This window comes from Homo sapiens, chromosome 12, assembly GCF_000001405.40.
Source record: "Homo sapiens chromosome 12, GRCh38.p14 Primary Assembly".
In the NCBI taxonomy this organism is placed as follows: Eukaryota; Metazoa; Chordata; class Mammalia; order Primates; family Hominidae; genus Homo; species Homo sapiens.
Genome location: NC_000012.12, coordinates 108,061,777 through 108,083,365, shown reverse-complemented (window position 1 = coordinate 108,083,365; position 21,589 = coordinate 108,061,777). Strand labels below are relative to the sequence as shown.

The 21,589-nt window shown below is 43.3% G+C and overlaps 1 annotated feature.

The window, feature by feature from the left end:
* Positions 14,777-14,946: an enhancer, noted in NCBI's record as "experimental_24094 CRE fragment used in MPRA reporter constructs". NCBI's record gives its function as "activates a minimal promoter by MPRAs in K562 erythroleukemia cells, with activity observed for both the introgressed and non-introgressed 12:108462282 variant alleles {active_cell/tissue: K562}" and the evidence as "EXISTENCE:reporter gene assay evidence [ECO:0000049][PMID:34662402]".

Below are 21,589 nucleotides of genomic sequence, written 5' to 3'. Positions count from 1 at the left end.
AACTTGAGAGCAGATGGCTTATAAGCTCACTCTAAAAGCAACATTTTCTTTATCTTTCTCAGGTCAGGTTTTGAAAACCTGGGCTGCAGGGGAGGAGGCCTATGTTGTTGTAGAGAGATGACCTGGCTCTTAAGAATGAGTATTTTATTCACACTCCTGGTGTGCATCAGCATTTCTGCAACTGTCTCTGTCTCTGCCTGGCATGGATCACTTACAGCCTCCAAGGCAGACCTCTGCTATAAGCACCCTTGTCACTCTGTGGACCCATTCCATTTCCCAGCCATTTGTAAGCCAATGTCTCCATAATGCAGGATAATTGGAGGTCCTTAGATCTTGAGAGAACGGGCTTGGGTAGTGTTTAACAAAGAGCGTCTCTATAATGCTTAGTTCCAAGTCTCCTTATGTGCTAGGTAAACCAGGCTGATTCAGGAGGAAAAGTGAGGCACAGAGAAGGGGAGACATCCACATGAGGTCAAACAGCAATCACCCTACCTAAAACCTTATCACCTGAGTCCTCTGTTAGAACTCACTGCCTCCCCCATGGCAAACTCCTGATTCTAAATCTTAGCACACTGTGCATCTCATGCAGAGGATTGTTTGTGATGTTACATTACCAAGCTTTTAAAAGTCCAGATGGTTCCAGTTGTGGGGGGTCTATGGGCCATAAAACTGCCATCCTCACAACTCAAGCCTCTCTTGTGGTAATGATGTAATCTGTTTGCAGAAAAAGGCCCCAGTCCAGGCTGTCACTAGAGCAGTCACCTCCGATGGAGGCACAACCAGGGATAGGGAGTGTTCATGATAGTTCCATTCTGAGCTGTGAAAAGCAACTTTCCTTTGACTGTGTTCTCTAGCACATAAGGACCCAATGTATTAGAGGAGTGCAGGAATAAGACTAAGACCTCTGTACCCACCTCATCTCCTACTTCTCTTCAAGCAGAACTGCAGAACTGCTGCCCACTCTGAATTCTTGCATGTGCATTTACACTTCAGGGAATGTCCTTTCCTACTTTTGTCTTTAAAACCCTTTAGAACTGTAGGTACAAATCTCAGCTCTGAGGTTGTCTAACTCTGTGACACAGGACAAGTCCTTCCATCTATATGATCATTTATTTCCTCATCTCTCAAATGGTGTCAGTAATTGATTCAGCCTCATAGGATTGCTTCAAAGATTAAGCAAAATAATCCTCATGGGCTGAGGTTGAGGAAATTTTGGCTGTAACAGAAACCCACTCAGATTAATTAAAGCCAAAAAAAGCAGGGTGAGGATTTGCTCAGAAAAGGCACAAATCCAGTCTTGGGATGCAAAATAAGTCACGTCATGTATAAATTTTCAAGCAATCACTCCAGACCCCCACATGCAGGAAGTTCAACATCTTCCTCCTAAAATCCCACTTGCACCCTCACTTGGTGTTGGCCAACACTTCTTGAACAGTTCGTGGATCCCGGGGCAGAATGTCCAAGGGAGCAGCTTCCCCAGAAGACAGTAAAGGCTGGAGTCCAGGCAAGGCACCATTGCTGTGCTTGGCTAACTTTTGGGCTGCTGTGAAGATGGCTGTGTTGTGGCCTGGTCAGCAGCATTGCAGGACTGGACTGGACTTTGCACGAACCACTTACTGGATGTCAGGAGAGGAGTGCTCCACTCCCACGCACCAAATTGCAGTGCTTAGCCTCAGCTTTCCAGTCATATCCCACTTCCCAAGAATCTGGAGTAAGTTCCATGAGGTCAGGAAACATGCCTATCTTATGTATCACTGTGTGCCCAGTGTCTGAAATATGGGCCTGGTACAAAGTAGTCATTACATGTTAAGTAGATGGATGGATAGGTGGGTAGGTAGGTGGATGGATGGATGGATGGATGGATGGATGGATGGATGGAGGGATGGATAGATGGATGGATGGATAGAGAGACAGGCAGACAGAGATGGACAGATTGACAGATGGATGGACAAATCATAGTGTGAAATATCAGACCCAAGTCATGGTTAAGAAATGTTATAAATGAATACCTTTGGTAAATTACCATTTTGGAATAGGTAGGTATGTGATGTTTTTAAAACAGAACAAGTAAACCAACATTTTAAAAATCACAGTCTAAGAATTTGCTGGCTGCGTGAATTTGTCATCTTCACTTGCATTAGGCAACAATCACAAGCATGCATGTAAATATATTTATAAAGACAGTCTTTAAATACAAGGATGTGATTTCTATTGATGCCTCTGGAATAGAATTAGGTCAAAGGCCACTGGGAAAGGAATGAGAGCAAGCATTTATTGAGTGTCCACCAAGGGTCAAGTTGTTTAATTAAATGCTACCCTGTCAGATCCTCTCACAACTCTGTGCAGAGGGCATCACCATCCCCGTTTCTCAGGTGCGGCAACTGAGGTGCAATGAGGCTGCACATGTCCTGCTTGGGGACACACAGCTAGTAGGTGGCAGAGCTAGCTTTGAATTCAGTTTTGCTCAGTCCCAAATCCCATGCTGTCACCATTTCCCCACATGACCTGACCGGAAGAGGGCCTATGGGAGGAAAGAAATGGGGCAAGCATTGTTTAAGGATTAAGTCCTATAAGTCCTGTTATCTCCTTCATCCCACAGCAATTCTGTAAGGGAGGAATTATACGGTTATTACTCATGCCTCAAAGGTGGGGAAACTGAGATTTGGAGCTAAATGCCACTTCCAAGGTCATTGATTTAATCCTCAGGAACGCTCTTTGAGGCCGATTGGATTTCATGTCTATATGACCCTGGCAAAAGCAGACAATAGACTGGGGCCCTCGCAGGGCCCGTCTCCCATGGCAACAACAGCATGTGTATTCTCAGAGAGCACATGAGTAAGTCTTGAGTGCTTACTCTATGCATGGTTTGTGGCAGAGGGCTCAGAGGGAAAAGGCAATTTGGGGAAGGAATGGTTAGCAGCAGAGCCCACGGAGCCTGACTCTAGGCTGGCGTGTGATCTTGGGCTTGCTCAGTGCCCTAAATTCCTTCACTACACTCTCCTTGGAGTCACAGCTTTTTGACTCTGGTTAAAATGCAAATCATACCTGGAAGGGATAACACAGAAAACCATTATCAGCCTGGAACAAAGCCAGACCACATTCATGTCCAAATTTCATTCTCAATACTTTTGTTTTTTTTTTTTTATAACTTTAAAAACATTTTTTGGGGAGCAATTCATGTTCATTGTAGAAGTTTAGAAAATGCAGAGGCAAAAGAAAATTAAAAAAAAAAAAGGAAAGAAAACAATCACCTGAAATCTCCCTGAAGTAGTCATTTTATCCTGTTGGATCTAGTAATAGTACTCAAATGTTACAATTTTGCCCTGAGAAGCCATATATCCCCCACTCTCCACCCAACTCATTAAGGTAAAGCTTATTCCATGCCCCTGCCTTTAATGGGGTTAGAAGAGCATGTGACCCAGAAATGGCCAATCAGAGCATCACAGTCCTGGCCACAATGATTGGCTCATGGCACGGTATACTACCAATCCTAGCCAATAAGAGCTCTGCCCAAAACTTTCAATGGAATCATTGGGAAACATTTTTTTTTTTTCCTCTTCCTAACTGCAAAGAGGATGGGAGCAGATAGTGGTCATTCTTGACCCAGTCTGTGGAGAGCTTACCTGAGAATAAAGCCAGTCCCACAGAGGAGTTGAGGCATGTGTAGAAGTAGAATTTTGATATTGTCTGAGTGTCTGGATCCAACTATACCTGAAGCCAGTGCACATAGACTTTTCAGGTAGTAAATTGAATCATATACAATTGCCAGTATTTGACAATTTTTGACCTGAAAATGATGATTTCATACGGTTTAACTCAGTACATGAGAAAACAAATTTCCTTTCCTACTTAAGTAACTTGAAATTGAGTTTCTGGCTCTTGCAACTGAAAGAATATGGTTCAATACATCCATCACCCAAATAAAATCAACATTCACATTTTGGTAGGTCTCCTCCCATACGTGTGTGTGTGTGTGTGTGTGTGTGTATGTATGTTTGTATTGTATAATATAATGATAGTTCCTTTTGTAATATGCTATCATATGGCACTTTGTATTAATAATTAATGATTTATGACAATTTAATTTCACTTATTATTTATGTAATTAGTTCTTCAAACTCCTCCTTCTGTGGCCTGACAGTTTCATGAGAACAGTGCTTTATTCTAGCCAAACACATTGTCAGCCCCATAGTAGGTACTCAATAAATATTTGTTGACTTACTAATATGCAGGTATACTAAAAAAAATAGAATTCAGTATGACTGAATGGTTTAGAGAAAAGCCAACCTGCAGCCAGGCATACAGCTACTGGATTCTATAAAAGTGAGACATATTGTCCCATTGGAGTAGGGCCCAGAGATAGAACAAGCAATGAAACTTGGGCATCTGCATTAACATATAAATGATACACTAGTGGAGCCTGGCAGTTTCCATAGAAGACTGGCAACTGCCCATCAGCCTTCTTAACAAGTTGGCATGGGGTGGAAGTTGGGGAGCACAGAAAAGAGATCTGAAAGCAAGACCCATGGTTCGAAACCCACAGAAAGAGGTTCAGCAGAAGGTTTTGGATGCATCTACTGTATGTTCATCACTCAGACCACAGGTCCATTATACATTAGTGCCTCCTCAAGGTGGTCCGGCAAAATGCACGGAAGACATGAAAGGCAATCAGTCAATCAATCATGCCACTACAATTATCATAGGCTCGTGGATTATCAGAACATGGAGATATGTTGTTGTTGTTGGCCTGTTGTTATGGTAATTATCATCAATCTTCACATCAGCAGCCTAAGAGTGCCTGATATGTATTGCCTGGCAAGGTGCTAAGAGGTTCTTGTGCATTGTCTCATTTTGTTCTTGCAACACCCCTATGAGATAGCTACTATTAGGTATCCATTTTAGAGAGGAGGAAGCTGAGGCTTAATGCAGTGAAGACACTTGCCCAGTGGCACATAGTTGGGAAGTGGCAGAGCTAGGATTTGAACCCAAGGTCTTCCAACTTTTCCCACTCTGGTTTTCTAGGTGATCTCATCCACCCCACTCATTGTATAAGTGAGGATGATGAGGCTCTGAGAGGTAGTAGTTCTGAGGCGGAAAGAGATGCCAAACAGCTGTTAGAAGCTTTATGCCATTATACCAAAATATCGAACCTTTGCCTTTTCAGAAATGATCCTAAGCAGAGGATAGGGAGGGCCCTGATGCCAAGGGATCCAGATGGAGTTGACCAGAAGATACTTGCTGACATTTGCATCACATGAAGGTATTGATTGCAAGGGCAGCCCAGGGCAGCCATGCTGGAGGGTTTAGGTGAACTTCTCCACCTTGGAGAAGTTCCCACTCAGACCCACACCGGAGCATGCATGAAGATGTACACTACCACCATGCAGTCTGCAGTGGTAGCAAGCTGAAGCCCTCTAGGTTTCTGTCCCTAAATACTTGGATGATTAAAATATGGGGAACACACACCAGGGAGTACCATGCGGCAGTCCTAGATGTATGAATGACAGCATGAGTGGATCTTAAAATCACAGTGCCATGAAGAAAATAATAGACAGGATGAAATCCACAGCACAGTATCATTTAGGTAAATGAAAAACTCATGCACCCGAAACTTTTCCCAGGAATAAATACAAATAAAAAGATATACATCAAACAGATTAGGTAGGCTGCCAGTGGGGTGTGTGTGAGAGGAGAAGGGAGAGGAGGAGAGTGAGGCATGAAGATCAAGGGGAATAAATGAATGGATGAATGGCGCACAGGAGATGCTTGCAGACAATAATGTGAATGTGTCATAAGCCAAGGAGTATGAGTGCCTCAAGCCTCAGCATCCCAGATCTGAAAAAGTAAAGAAACTCAAAGACAAAACCACTCAGCTAGACTTGGGAGTAAAATTAAGTCATAGCATAAGGAATCCAGCATTTTAAAAACACCTACTGTGTATCAGACACTGTTGCTAGGGGCTTTCTCTGTGTCATTTCATTTACTGTTCAACAGAACATTGGGAAGAAATTATCATTTGTTTTGCAAATCAGGGAAATGGAGCAGAGAGTTGAGGCTGGAGGAGAATAGTCCTCATCCAGGTTGTCAGAATCCAAAGTAATTTGTTTTCAGATTTTCCAGAATAGACATTCCACAGTCTATTTTCTGGGAGCAAATGGAAAGGCATCATTAGTTGCTAGTAAGAGAAAAATTATGACAATTCTGTAGGATGGCCTCGTTCTTTTTTTTAAAAAAGTGTGTTGCTTGACTTTTCATATAGAAAAGAGGCTGGAAGGATCTGTGTCCAGGTTTTAGCAGGAAGCTCCCTGGGAGCAGGGGTGAATCTGTGCTGGTCAGTCTTGTCTACTGCTGTGCACCCATTCAGGGCTGACCCACAGGAAAGCTCAACATATTCACATAAATTAATCTCTGAATGGTGAAGTGCCTTTTCTCTGTGCCTTTGTGTACCATCTGCATTTTTAAAAAGAGCACAGATTACTTTTATAATCAAAAAGGAACAATAAAGCTTTTTCTGTTTGGAAGGAAAATGTTTGTTTAATAAGAATGAGCAGAGGGATTCTGAGGCCAGCTATGTCTGAGAATCCCGTCTCCCATGGCAACAACAGCATGTGTATTCTCAGAGAGCCCATGAGTAAGTCTTGAGTGCCTACTCTATGCATGGTTCGTGGCAGAGGGCTCAGAGGGAAAAGGCAATTTGGGGAAGGAATGGTTACCAGCAGAGCCCACGGAGCCTGACTCTAGGCTGGCGTGTGATCTTGGGCAAGTTCTTTGGCCTCGCTGAGCCTCTGCTTCCACACTGCAAGATGGGCACAATGCTAGCCATGAAGGTTAGCCCATGCCTAGCACAGAGCAGGGGTTCATATGTAATAATATTGCTATCATGGATGATGGTGAGGGGAGCACCGTAGCTGGTGGGAACAGCAAGGGCAAAGGTATGGAGGGAGGACTGCACTGGGTACTGCAGGGCCTTTATTTTCAGGTTTCTTCTTTTAGGAAATCAGAGCTGGGGCAACAGGTTCCTTGTTCTTCCCCAGCCTCCTCTGGAACTGTACTAGAGGAACCTAATTGCTAGTTTCAAAAGGCAGTAAAGAATCATTAGGGCCAATTTCATCAGTGCAGTGTTCTGTGTGCTGGTGAAAAGATGAGGAATAACAACACAGCCCAGGGCTTCCAGACCGTGGCCCCAAACCAGGTGATTAAAGATGCAGAAATGGGATTCCAGACTCAGAAAAATAAGGAGCTGCCTGAGGAGAGGGGGCCAGCTCTATGGAGACAAAAGTCCTGAGAATACAGAGACCCCACACATGCATCTATGAGCTTCTGGTGGAAGTACAGGCCCTGGGTGTTACAAACACACACACACACACACACACACACACACACACACACACACCACTTAATGAGCTCCATTTGGAATTAATTTCCCTCACCCAAATCAAACCTGAAATAAGACACCAGATTGCCCATCCACAATTCACCATTTCTTTTACTCTTGCCTTTAAGATAACACAAATATCCATAATATACAGAGTGATTACTAGGTACCGGACACTGTGCTAAAGCCTTTACGGGAATTTGGCCTGTCCTCTTTCCCAACAGCAGGTCTTAATTAGGATTGGGATGGGTTGCAAGGACAGGAAACAAAATAACAGTGGCTTAAGGAAGAAAGGAGTTTATCTCTCTACAATGTTAAACAAGCTTAGTATAGTTGGTCCAGGACATATGTCAATGACTGCAACTCCTTCTTTCTTGAGGTTCTGCCATCCTCAGCATGCAGCTTTCTCCTCGTGGCCCAACAGAGCTGTTTGTGCTCCTGCATCACAACCACATTCCAGCCAGCAGGAAGGAGGAAGGGACAAAGAAAGGCTCCCTCTCGCCACTGCACTCCAGCCTGGGCAACAGAGCGAGACTCCATCTCAAAAAAAAAAAAAAAGGCTCCCTCTTCTCTTTTAGGATCCTTCTAGGCATCTGCATATGACGCGTTTGCTTATATCTCTCCACCAGAATGTAGTCACAATGCCTACCTCTAATAGCAGGGAATGTTAGGATATGAAGTTTTTACTCCAGGTGAACATGGAAATTAAAAAGTTAAAAGTAAGGGAAAGAAATGGGAAGAATGGCTATTGGATGCTAGGAGGATAACTGTGGTCTTGGCCACAGTGCCACTACTATTAACAACAATCCTGCTTTTCAGATGAGGAAACTGAGGCTCCAAGAGGGGGAAGTGACTTGTCACAGGTGATCATGATGGTACATGGTACCATATGATGATGGTATGATGGTACATGGCAGAGCCAGCAGTTGAACCAATGTTTCTTTGGCCCTGAGCCACTGGGTCTTTTGAAATCTATATACAAACTTTTGTGTTGATTTGTGAGATTTTGGTGCACCCATCACCTGAGCAGTATACACTGAACCCAATTTGTAGTCATTTATCCCTCACCCACTTCCCACCCTTTCCCCGAGTCCCCAAAGTCCATTGTGCAATTCTTATGCCTTTGCATCCTCATAGCTTAGCTCCCACTTATGAATGAGAGCATACAATGTTTGGTTTTCCATTCCTGAGGTACCTGTAATTGAGAAATATATATATATATATGTGTGTGTGTGTGTGTGTGTGTACATATATGTATATGTACACACAAGAAACTTACATATATATACACACACATATATATATACACACATATATATATATACACACACATATATATATAGACACACATATATATATACACACATATATATATATACACACATATATATATATATATATCACAGTTTATTTATCCACTCGTTGATTGATGGGGATTTGGGCTGGTTCCACATTTTTGCAATTACAAATTGTGAATCTCCACACTGTTTTCCATAGTGGTTGTACTAGTTTATATTCCGACCAGCAGTGTCCACCTGTTTCTCAAAAACCTATGGAAATAAAAAATTTAAAATAAAAATAAAAAGGACATAGTGACAGTTAAAAATAATAAATACATAAAATAGTCAAATTCATGAAATCAAAGACTAGAATGGTGGCTACCAGAGGCTGAGGGCTGGGGAAAATAGGAAGTTATTGATAAACAGGCACGAAATATCAGTTACGTAAAATGAACAAGCACTAAAGATCTACTGCACGACATTATACCTATACTCAACAATAATGTATTGTACACTTCAAATTGTACACTCAACTCATGTGGAGTGTTCTTACCACAATAATTTTTTTAATGGAAAAAAAGTGAAACCCATATAAAAAGATATAGAGGAGAAATTCCACAAACACACGGAGACACACCTTCAAACTCACAGGCTTCAGGGCTTGAAAATCATATGCAGGGTTTCACAGCAAGGTCATTTTGACAACTGAATCCAGATCCCCAGGAAACACTTGTTTCTGTCGAAGCTGTGACAGAGCCTTAATTACAACAGCCTAAATACTATGCTGCACTTAAAGGACATGGGGAGCAGGCTATGAATTCCTTTTAGAAAGTCCCTTCCTCCCCAAGGTAAACCAGGCAGGGAGGAGGTTTACACCAGCTCCGGAAGGACACCTGAACGTCCCTCTCCAAGGTGGCAGGGGTGTGCTATGCGGGTCATTTGTCCTCTGCTCTCTCTCATCTGAGGATGTGCAAATAATCACCATTATTTGAATTGCCTTACAGAGCAAGGAGAAAATAAAATCCTACCAAGGAGTGGGAGAGGAAGGTCACCTCTAAGGTGAAACTCCCCCTGTTCAATGTTGACAAGAGGGTCCCATGATGCCCTGAGAGCGTCCTGCAGGTGCCCATGGGACTAGGACCTTTCCCTTTCTTTGCCCCCTAACCACTGGTGGGAATTACCCCCCTAGGAGAGGAAATGCAAATGACAGCTATCATAGCTAAGCCAGTTCACATGCAATCTGACAACACTAGTATTTCCTTACATGCCTGCATCACAGAGTGTCATGCATCATCCCCATTTTACAGCAGAGAAAACAAAGGCTTAAAGCCAAAAGTGAAATAGTGCAACCAGTTTGGAACTCTGTTTGCTGGTTTATAATAAAGTAATACATACTCTTACCATACAACCTCACCATTCTACTCTGAGGTATTTATGTAAAAGAAACAGAAACATACATGTGTAAAAAAGATTTGTACAGCCAACAACACCAATGTCCATAAACAAGAGAATGGATAAAAAATATACCTCCACACAATGAAATACTACTCATCAGTAAAAAGGAATGAACACTGATCTTGGAAGAGCATGGCAGAATCTCAGGGAAATTATGCTCCGTGGAAGAAGCTAGACACAGAAGAATACATATTGTAGGATTCCATCCATCTAAAGTTCAAGAACAGGCAAAGTGACTAGAAGGTGATAGAAATCAGAACAGCTGCCCTGCAGGGGAAATGTTACTGAATGAGAAGGGTACAAAGGAAGCTTCTGGAGTTGGTTTATGTAAGTTGATCTGGTGATACTTCCAGGGGTGTTTATTTGGCAAAATTAATTGAGCTGTAGACTTAAGATTGGCACATTTTGCTGTGTGAAAATTGTGCCTTGAGTATTGGAGGAAAGAGACTCACCCTGTTACAAGTGGAAAATGAGCTATGCCATTGTCCAACAGCCAGTATGAATCAAGGCAGTAAAAGTATGGTCACTGCCTCTTTTTAAAGGATTGGGAAGACTCTGTCAGGGTCAAAGGTGTTTTTGAGTGTTCTCCCTGGGCCAGGTCCTGTGCTTAGGGTTGGGGTAAAGATGGACACAGTCCTGTCCTGATGAAGCATTTGTCATGGGACAGGGACAAGCATTCATCCCAGGGCCCCATGGGGAGGGAGGAGCAGGGACAGTTGATGCTCCTTGGAGGGGACTGAGTCCAGATCTCCTGGAGGAAGGGGCAGCAAGTTGCAAAGAAATAGGGGAGGAAGAAACATGATGTAGGGATTAGGTTGCATCAGGTTGGGCAGAGACCCATATTATGGAAAGAGAAAATGTAGTCTATATGGGAAGGGGACTGTCAGTAATGCAGTCCTCCTGGAGCTTAGAGTGGAGATAGGAAGTGACCATTAATAAAAGTGACTTTCACTTATGCACAACTTACTCTGTGCCTACCGTTCATATATTAACTCATTAAATCTTCACAAGATCCCTTTGCACTAGATTGTCCCCATTTAACAGATGATGAAATTGAGGTTCAGAGAGGAGAAGTCACATAGCTGCCAGGTCACATAGCCGGTGAGTGGCAGAGACAAGATTTTAACCCTGGTCAGCTGGGTCTAGAATCCGCTCTTGCAGTCATTCTGCTCAGCTAATGAGGTGGAGGGGGCCAGGTTGTGAAAGCCCTAATCAGCCTTTCTACAGTTTCATCCTGTGGACAAAAGGAGTTAGCTCTTCTGTGAGCTTCAGTTTCCTCATCTGTAAATACAGACAATATTTTGTATCTCAGGGGAGTGTTAATGGGGCTTAAAGTGGATGAGAAGCATCAAGCAACCAGCAAAAGGCATGGCTAGTATAATGCCATCATATATACTAGCTGTCATTATTCTAATTCTAGCTGATCATCTAACTGCTAACATGTGAAGACCTACTGGGCATAGGCACTCTGCTAAAGAGTTTGCATGAATTACCTCTTTGATCCTCACAGCCTGAGTGTTAGGGGACATTATTATTGCATATCCCACAAAGGAAGTGAGAGAAGACAAATGTCTAAGATAATGCTGTTAACCAACACCAGTGAAATGTTGCAGCCCAGAAAATCAGGATCTGGAGTGCATGCCCCAACCCAACCCTCTTCCATATGGCGGCCCTTCACTACACGTGGCTATTGAGCGCTGAAACAACCGAGTCCAAATTGAGATGTGTTGTGAGTATGAAATACACATCGGATTTTGAAGACTTTGTTTGAGAGATCTCATTCATATTTTTATTACATATTGAACATTACCTTTTTGACTACATGTGAATATGATAATATTTGGATGCACTGGGTCAAAGGCAAGATGTTATTAAAATTAATTTCACTGGTTTCTTTTTACTTTTATAAAAATGTGGCTGGGGGCTGGGTGCGGTGGCTCACACCTGTAATCCCAGCACTTTGGGAGGCCAAGGCAGGAGGATCACGAGGTCAGGAGATCGAGACCATCCTGGCTAAGATGGTGAAACCCCATCTCTACTAAAAATACATAAAAATATTAGCCAGGCATGGTGGCGGGCGCCTGTAGTCCCAGCTGCCTGGGAGGCTGAGGCAGGAGAATGGCGTGAACCTGGGAGGCGGAGCTTGCAGTGAGCTGAGATGGCGTCACTGCACTCCAGCCTGGGTGACAGAGCGAGACTCTGTCTCAAAAAAAAAAATGTGGCTGGGTTTATATCCAGGGGGATGTAAATTGTTGTATCAAAAGACCCATGCACGTGAATGTTCATTGCAGAACTGTTCACAATAGCAAAGAGATGGAATCAACCTAGTGCCCATCAATGACAGATTGAATAAAGAAAATGTGGCATATATACACCATGGAATACTATGCAGCCATAAAAAGAACGAGATAGTGTCTTTTGCAGGAACATGGATGGAGCTGGAGGCCGTTATCCTTAGCAGACTAACACAGGAACAGAAAACCAAATATCACATGTTCTCATGTATAAGTGGGAGATAAAGGATGAGAACCGATGAACACAAAGAGAACAACAGACACTGGGATCTACTTGAGGGTGGATGGTGGGAGGAGGTAGAGGAGCAGAAAAGATAACTATTGGGTGAAGAGCTTAATACCTGGGTGATGAGATACTCTGTACAATAAATCCATGGCATCAGTTCACCTATGTAACAGACCTTCACATGTACCCCGAACCCAAAATAAAGGCTTAAAAAGGGAAAAAAAGAAAAGAATTGCAAAGCTCATAAAAACATAATACAAAATTGGTATGTGGTAAATAATTACAGAAACTGAGGAAATAAAAGAATCACAAAAGACTTACTTGATAAGTTCCATGTAAATAAATTTGAAATAAATTTTAAACTTTCAAAAAATGTGGCTGCTAGAAAATTGTAAGTTGCATGTGAGGCGGGCATTCTATTTCTGCTGGGCAGTGCCACCCTACACTGCTGCTTTTCTCCTTCCGTGGGGTGAACCATACATTGGCCTCCCAGCCTGTCCACATGGGGCCTTTCAAAGTTGCTGCATTTGAACTTCAGTTTATGTGTTGATGAGTTAACTGCTTTGTCCCTCACACCTTAGTGTGTTTGTGTGTGTGTGTGTGGGGGGGGTGCTTGCTCCTGTGTCCCCTTCAAAGACATTTCCTGCCAGGCTTCCTCTTCACCATTTTTAACATCACGATGCACAGACGGTGGGAAAAGACAGAGGGTCCCCCACGCAAACACAGCATCACAGCCTCCCATGCCCTCCCCTGCTGGCCGCTCCATCTCATAGCCCATGAGCCCTGCAGTTCCAGGCTGTAGCCCATGGCAAGGTTATTTAAGCTGAGATCAGCTGTCCTCTCTCTCCTAGGGAAAATAAAAATATTCTAATTAAACCTGGGTAAGCCCTGGGAACAATAGTGCTGGCACTGGGGCTGATGGATGTGATTCAATTTGGAGCATGAAGAGCAGGACTCTAGGCTCTTGCTGTTACCAAGCAATTTGGAGGGCAAAAATGATCCAAAACTGGATTTTAAAAATGCAATCCAGCTCATAGGAGGGTAGAGGTGGGGATCTGAACTGCGGGACAGAAAGAGTCCTATTCCATCTGAAGCCAGAGGCAGCAGAGAACAGATGAGGTCATGGGACTTGGGGGCCCAGATATACCTGGCTCCACCAAACTGCAATTTCTGTATCTGGGGTTGGGGGTCATTTTGGTACTCCACCTCTTGGGGCCTCATGGCGACTGAATAAGGTAATACAGGCAAAGTGCTTGGATGGCGGCTCGATTAAATGGAAGCCATTCTTCTTTATGTTTATTCCTCCCACAGCCCACATGTTGACATTGAACCTCACCAATTCGTATGTTCTCAGCAGATGCCTGGAATTGCCGACAGATCCCTGGTTCCTGGGATGACATCCTTGGAAAGCTATGTGGAAGGTGATAGGGACAGGCTATGACAACAGTTACTGTACTTACCTGTGATCACATCTAAAAATAATCATTGCAACGAGGTAGATAAAGTATTATTATGCCAACAGCTGGCTACTGAATAGAAGGGAAGTTACAAAGACCTGGATGCCAAATCTCCAAAGGTTTTAGAGAAATGTCAGAATTGGTTCTGTATTCGACAAAAAGAATAATTTATGCTTTCTTCCAGGGTGTGGAGTCGGGAAGGGAGATTAGAAAGAAAAGAGAGAGGAGAGGAAGAGAAAATCTAGCAAGATGGCAAGAGCTGGAGCTGGTGAGGGAAAGGGAGTTTGAGTCACCCCTTGACCACCACCCACCCCAAAGAGTGTTGGTCAGGGGACATTTGAAAAGCCATGATACCTAACATTCCATTTGGAAATTGTCTGCATTAAAGCAATGTTAACCCCTCCTCTGTCTTCCACCACCACCCCTGAAATCTGCAGAAAATTCTCCTAACCTCAAAAATGAGTCATGTAATTGGATGTCTTTCTATTTTTTAAAACAATGAGATTCAAGCAAGAAGCTGGGTTTCATGTCTGGACTGATGTGGAGCTACAAAGTGGGGAAGCAAGAACCATAGAAACATGGCTTCTTCTGAGAATTGACAGAAATCTGGAAGAGGGCTCTGAAATGCTCAGGTCACTGCTGAGCTATCATTATGTGAAGACTTCTTCCCATTGCCCCCCACCAAAATCCTTTTTTAAAGCAGACATTACAGAGACTTGGGGTCCTTCCTCTTGGTTAGTGGCCAGCTCTGCATCATTTTGGATTCTTTCTATTAAAAACAAAAATGCACAGATCAAATCTAACTGAAAAAAGCAAGGAAAAAGTAAACTGGAAAGTTACTGGGAAGCTCCCAGAATTGAAACATGAGCTAAGCAACAGGACTCAGGAAGGCTAGTGACCAAGCAGTGCCAGGACTTCAGCAGCAGGATGGCGGGCAGTCCGAAGGACAAATAAATCAACTATTCTTGTATCTACCCAAGATTCAAATTTTCAAGGAAGAGACTGAGGACCTAGTTTGGGTTACATGGTTACACCAGCAGTCAGAAGAGAGCTAGGGATGTGTGTCTGGCATGACATAAAGAGGTGGAGGGAAAGTTCCCTAAAAAAGGCAATCTAGGCTGGGTGTGGTGGCTCATGCCTGTGATCCTAGTGCTTTTGGAGACCAAGGCAGGAGGATCACTTGAAGCAGGAGGATCACTCTGAGACCAGCCTAGGCAACAGCAAGACCCTGTCTCTACAAAAAAAAAAAAAAAAAAAAAGTTTTAAAATAGCCAGGTGTGGGCCGGGTGCAGTGGCTCATGACTGTAATTCCAGCACTTTGGGAGGCCAAGGTGGGCAAATCACGAGGTCAGGAGTTCAAGATCAGCCTGGCCAGTATGGTGAAACCCCGTCTCTACTAAAAATACAAAAATTAGCAGGGCATGGTGGCACACGCCTGTAGTCCCAGCTACTCGGGAGGCTGAGGAAGAAGAATTGCTTGAACCCAGGAGGCTGAGGTTGCAATGAGCCGAGATCAGGCAACTGCACTTTAGCCTGGGAGACAGAATGAGATTCCCCATCAAAAAAAAAAAAGGAAAAGAAAAAAGAAAAAACCAGGTGAGGTGGTGCACACCTGTAGTCCTAGCTACTCAGGAAGCTGAAGTGGGAGAATCGCTTGAGCCCAGGAGTTTGAGGCTGCAGTGAGCTATGATCATGCCACTGCACTCCAGCCTTCCAGCCTGGGCAACAGAACAAGATCCTCTTGAGTCTTTAATAAAAGGGGGTAGGGGTAATCTAGAATAAGGAGAGAGCAGATACTAGGCATGTGTGTGCATATGTGTGTACACATGATGCACATGCGCAAACACACACACAGATGCTCATTTCATCCCACCCCTTTACTGCCCACACCCACTGTTCTCGTACATACAAACTGACATCACAATGCAATTATCCTGCATACAACCACAAACACATGCATGCTTCCTCAGTGAGAAAAGGGCAAATGAAGCAGTCTATTTATCTGGAAATATGCCTTTTAGGAATAAGGGTAACAATTTCAGAGACCTATGAAAATGTCACAAAGAGGGTGAGTAGGAAGAGTTGGGGGCTGGCTTTCAGATTAAAATAGGCACTCCACTCTAACCCTGGGCAAAATAGCCCCAGGGTGGTGGTTACTCAGGCCACATGCTCCTTGGTGTTTGGCTGTCACAGTGGCTACATCAGAGAGGAAGTGATGTCACCCAGTGGGACTTTGGCTCTTGGAAGACACTATCACGTGGTACTTAAATCTCACTGGCTGAAGGAAGAATTTTACCCGAGCTTGCAAATATCCTACCTGCCGAAGTGTCCTGACGTGCTCGAGACCCTAAAATTAAGCCAATGAAAAAGAACAAGTATGGAGTAGTGGTGATGAATATAGGCTTGGGGTGAGGTAGCGCTAGGTTCAGATCTGGGCTGGTTTGCTTTTTCCTAGTTACACAGCTTTGGTAAGGGCTTAGCCATTCAGACCTCAGTTTTCTCATCTGTGAAATGGGTTAATGTCTACTTTTAGTGATGTTCTGAGGAATAAATCAGCTAATGCATGTAACATGCTCAGAACAGTACCTGGCATTTAATAAAGGCTCAATAAATGTAAACTATGATTATTCTGTCTTCCTGACAGGTGAGGAAACTGAGATTCAGGGAAGAAAACGTTAGTTTGTCTAGGACAGCACAGCGATTCATCAAAATTCACAAAGAAAAAGCATATAGAAAGAAAAAGACTAGACCAGTATCACTCAATTGAAATATAATTAAAGTCAAGAGTGATTTTAGATTTCCTCGTAGCCACATTTTTTTTTAAAAAAAGAATAGGTGAAATTAATTTAATAACATATTTTATTTAACCTGATATATCCCAGATAGTATCATTTCAGCATATGATCACTATGAAAACTTAAATTTCAGTAGTTTGCATTCATTTTTTCCTAGTAGCCACACTTTTTCCCCATCTTTTCAAGACATTTTCTAAACTTTTAATTTTATGTGCGGCTTTGTTACATAGGTAAACTTGTGTCATGGGGGTGTGTTGTACAGATTATTTCATCTCCCAGGTATTAAGCCTAGTGCCCTTTAGTCATTTTCCCTGATCCTCTCCCTTGTCCTGTTCTCCACCCTCTGATAGGCCCCAGTGTGTGTTGTTCCTCTCTTTGTGTCCCTGTGTTCTCATCATTTAGCTCCCACTTATACATGAAACACGCAGTATTTGGTTTTCTGTTCCTGTGTTAGTTTGGTAAAGATAATGGCCTCCAGCTCCATCCATGTCTCTGCAAGGACACAATCTTGTTCTTTTTTATAGTAGCCACATTTCAAAAGATGAAACTAAACAGGTAAAATTAATTCTGTTCATACGTTTTACTTAACCCAATATGTCCCAAGTATAATTTCAACATGCAATTAATGTGAAAAAGCATTGATGAGTTCTTTCACATTCCTTTTATTCATGCTAAGTCGCTGGAATTGGATGTGGACTTTCACACTTACAGCACATCTTAATTTGGACCTGCTGCACTTAAACTGCACGATAGACACAGGAGGCTGCCATTGTGAACAGGACAGTAGCAGATGATCGGATTCTCACTTAGTGTTCCCAGTAGCCCCACGAGGTATCAAGAGCTCCATTTTGTAGATGAGGAAATGACGCCTGCGAGGTTAAGTGATTCTCCCAAGGTCACACAGCTAGAAAGAGCAGAGCTGGGTTTGGGGCTGTGTGACTTTTTGCAATATGTCCCTGCTGGGATCCAGGTCATTTCACCTCTTCGGGAGCCCCCATGTCCATCTCAGGGTTGTCCACCCCCAAAAAACATTGATTATCGCCGTGATTTATGGCCCTCCTGCCAGGCAGCCCTGGAGACATAATTAATTTGTTTCTGCTAGTGGAGGCCTGCCTGGACACCCTCACCTCCCCACACCACCTCTGCTTCTAGCTGAGTTGATCGATTCCCAGCTTGTCGATGGTGCTGAGGAGTAACCTGCAGCTGCAGTTAGATTCGCTTCATCAGGCACTTGCTCAGAGCAGCCCATCTGACACTTTTATTGGGTCGGGAGCATCATATTTCAGTGTGTGTTTCCACCCCAGATTCTTGTTCTTGGATGGGCTAGGGTGGATATTGGATCAGCTGCTTTATGTATTACAGCAGGCCCCATGCTCCTTCCCGGTAAGAGGAAATCTACTGATTGGAGTGTAACTAATTATCTGACCTGAAAGGGATCATTTGTCAACCAACCAGCATTTATTGAGCTCCATCTGCATGCTCAGCTCTTAGTGGGATAGTATTACTGATAATAATGCCAGTAGCTACAACAACAATAATAATAGCTAACAAGCAGTTAGCCCTTGCTATGTTTCAGGCACTGCTGTAGCATGTTGTTAGGATAGATGTTATTATTATTATTCCCATTTTACAGGAGAGGAAACTGAGGCTTAGAAAAGTGAAGAGACTTTCCCAAGACCACACGTTTGAGAAGGATAACTTTGGGATCCAATCCCAAGCAGCCTAGCTGCACTCAAGAACTCACTGCCTTGTTGAAGAGGCAACATACATACTCAAGAAAAATGTGATGAATAACAGAAGAGAGAAGGCAGTAAGGGCTATTATTTATGGACTAATAATATTAATATCATAGCAAATATTAAAACTTAATAAAAACTCATGATGTGCCAGGCTGCATTCTAAAAGCTTATGAGATATGTACTGCATTCTAAAAGCTTTATGTACTATATCTTATTAAATCTTCACAAAACCCAAGACATAGATACTGTTACCATCTTATTTTACAGATGAGGAATTTGAGGCTTAGCAGGGTAAAATGACAGGGACAAGGTCATAACAATGTAACCCCAATGAACAGATGAATGATTCTGTTGTTATCTTTCCCCACATATTTAGTTCATTGCTGATTCCCTGCCCCAAACCCCCCCGGGGTTATAAGGTGAGGGTAACACCCCAAGAGAGACATCTGAGCTGCAAAAAGTTGGCATTAAGTTGGGCATTCCTAACAGGCACAGCGTCAGTGGTTCAGGGCATTTTATGTGCTTTCAGAGGACAGGATCCATGACTTTCATCAGATCCTCAGAAAAATTAAGACCACTGCTTTAAAGGACTGAAGAGAGAACAGGGGTTCCCTTTTGATGAAAGGCATCACATAAAGCAGTGAAGAGCATGTGGGATCTGGATCCAGAACTGGTTCAAATCCTGGCTGTGTTGCTAAATAGAGATAGAACTTATGTGAGTGGGTTGCCATCTGAAGCCGTTTCCTCATCTCTAAGATGGTGGTCAAGATGATACCTAGTCTAAAGGGTTGCTGTTGCAGGGATGAAATGAGATAGCATGTGTAAAGTTCTTAGAAGAAAACTTAGCACATAGTAGTCCTTGATAAATTGTACCCACCATAAAGTTGGTTTCTGTACTCCCCTTCCCTCTTCTCCCAACCCCAAGCTGGAATTTCTCTAAAATGTAAAATTAGAAATTACCTAAGCCTTCACCATCCACCTATGCATTGCTCTTTGCAAGTGTCATTTCCAACAAAGCCAGATCAGAGCCAACGGGATCCCAAAAGTTATTTCTGGTCTAATGGAAAGTGGACATTCTCTAGGATAGCTAAGAACCTTCACTCTCACTGGCCTCCCACCCACGACTACTTTCCAATTCCCACTGTTTCTCAAACCCACTCCATCTGTCCTTCCCCTATTTGCAGCCACATGGGAATGAAGGATACCCAAATGGAACAGTGGTGGGAACCAAATGAAATGGTACTTTGAAAACAACCAGGATAAACCCTAGGCTGAGACCCCAATTTTAAACACCTTTATGGTTACTTGTAACAGCTGCACACTTTTTCTGTTTAAAGCAGTCCATACTTTCGCTCATTTAAGTCCTCATAGCGCCCCTCTGTGGTAGATGATAGTATTACTCCAATTTTCCAGGTGAAGAAACCAAGACTCAGGAAACTTGGCTGAGTTATCACACAGCTAAAAAGTAGCAGAGACAGGAACACACAATCTTGATCACCGTGCTCTGCCACCTTCTTTCCCCCAAAGCAAGTGGTCTCTTTTACACACAGCAACTTTTCGATCTGAATTTTAAGAAGAATTCATGGCCATGTGGATTTGTGTCTACCCCCACCTCTATCATAAAGATCCAGTGAGGAGGAATAGGCAAAGAGGCTGCTGTAAGAAGGGAAGAGAAAGTCACCCCAAATTACAGAAATCACAATGGGGTATCTGTATAATGAGGACATGCGAACAGAAGTAAGGAGAGCACTTGGAGACTAAATAATCAAAGAGTTTATAATAATAATTTTTAAAAAGGGCTTCACAAATTAGGATAAAGCTTTGTGAAGTAGCATAGTGTTCTGGAATATTAACTGAAGTTGTTTTACCCACAGCATTTGCTTATAGCTCATCTTTCTCTTCGTTGAAACAGTAATTGACTAGCAAGGCACCTCTGCCCAAGAAAGAGTTGACACAGAAGAGTAGACATAATAAAGTAGTCAAGTCCCTGGCTCATGAGTCTTCAAGTCTTTCCCAGAATAAGAATCTTTGGAGATTTGACCTATGTAAAGCCGTGGTTTTATTAAGTTCCCCAGGTGATTCTGATATACACTAGTTTGAGAAGCACTCTTGTGCTGCTCATAAAACCTATGTGGAAAAATATTTAGTAAGGACAAGATGTCCTATATTTAGATACGCTCCCTTGATGTTAAGGAAGAAGAGAGTAAGAAGAGACTCAAAGTGCTCAGATGGTATTAGGAGCCTGAGAAAGAACTCTACTCCTCAACCATCCCACTCTCAGGCCGATTTTGGTGGTGAGGCCGCACCCCCAGGTAGGCTGGGGCACCTGAGAGCAGCAGGCATTGCCCCAGCCCTTCCCCAGGTGTACCTTGTAAAAGGGTGGACCAGAACCCCATCCTTCTGAGACTCCAGTGCTGTAGCATGGTGTGGGAGCAGAAGAATAATCCAGGTGTCCAGGTGGGTCCTGTGAATGGGGTTTCCTAAATCTCAGAATGGTGTGATAGCAGTAGAAGGGCTCTTACAGGCCAGGCTGGGGGCTGAGAGGTCATTTGGGTCAGAAATGCAGACTCATTCAGCAATGACCTAGATGGGTAGACATACAAAGGCCAGGCAGGTCAAAGATGTTGCAGCTGTTGCCAGAACAAACAGACTAGAAAGGAAGGACTCGATCTGCATCTCACTGCCATGCTTTGGTACAAGGTATGCTCTCCAGGGAACCCAAGTGGACTAGATTTCTGCTGTAGCAGAATGGGCTCTGCAGCAGATGTTACTAGTGTTCCACGTACATCCCTCAGACACCTTATCATTTTCATCCACCCAGTCTTCCTATGTGCTTTGACTCTGCGTGGCCAGCACTTAAATCTCGTGGTGGGAGGACCACCCTCAAGCTACTAGAACCCCTTAGGCTTAATTGCCTAGAGAACCTAGAGTGCCCAGGTATTCACTCCCCCAGGACAACCCTTAACTA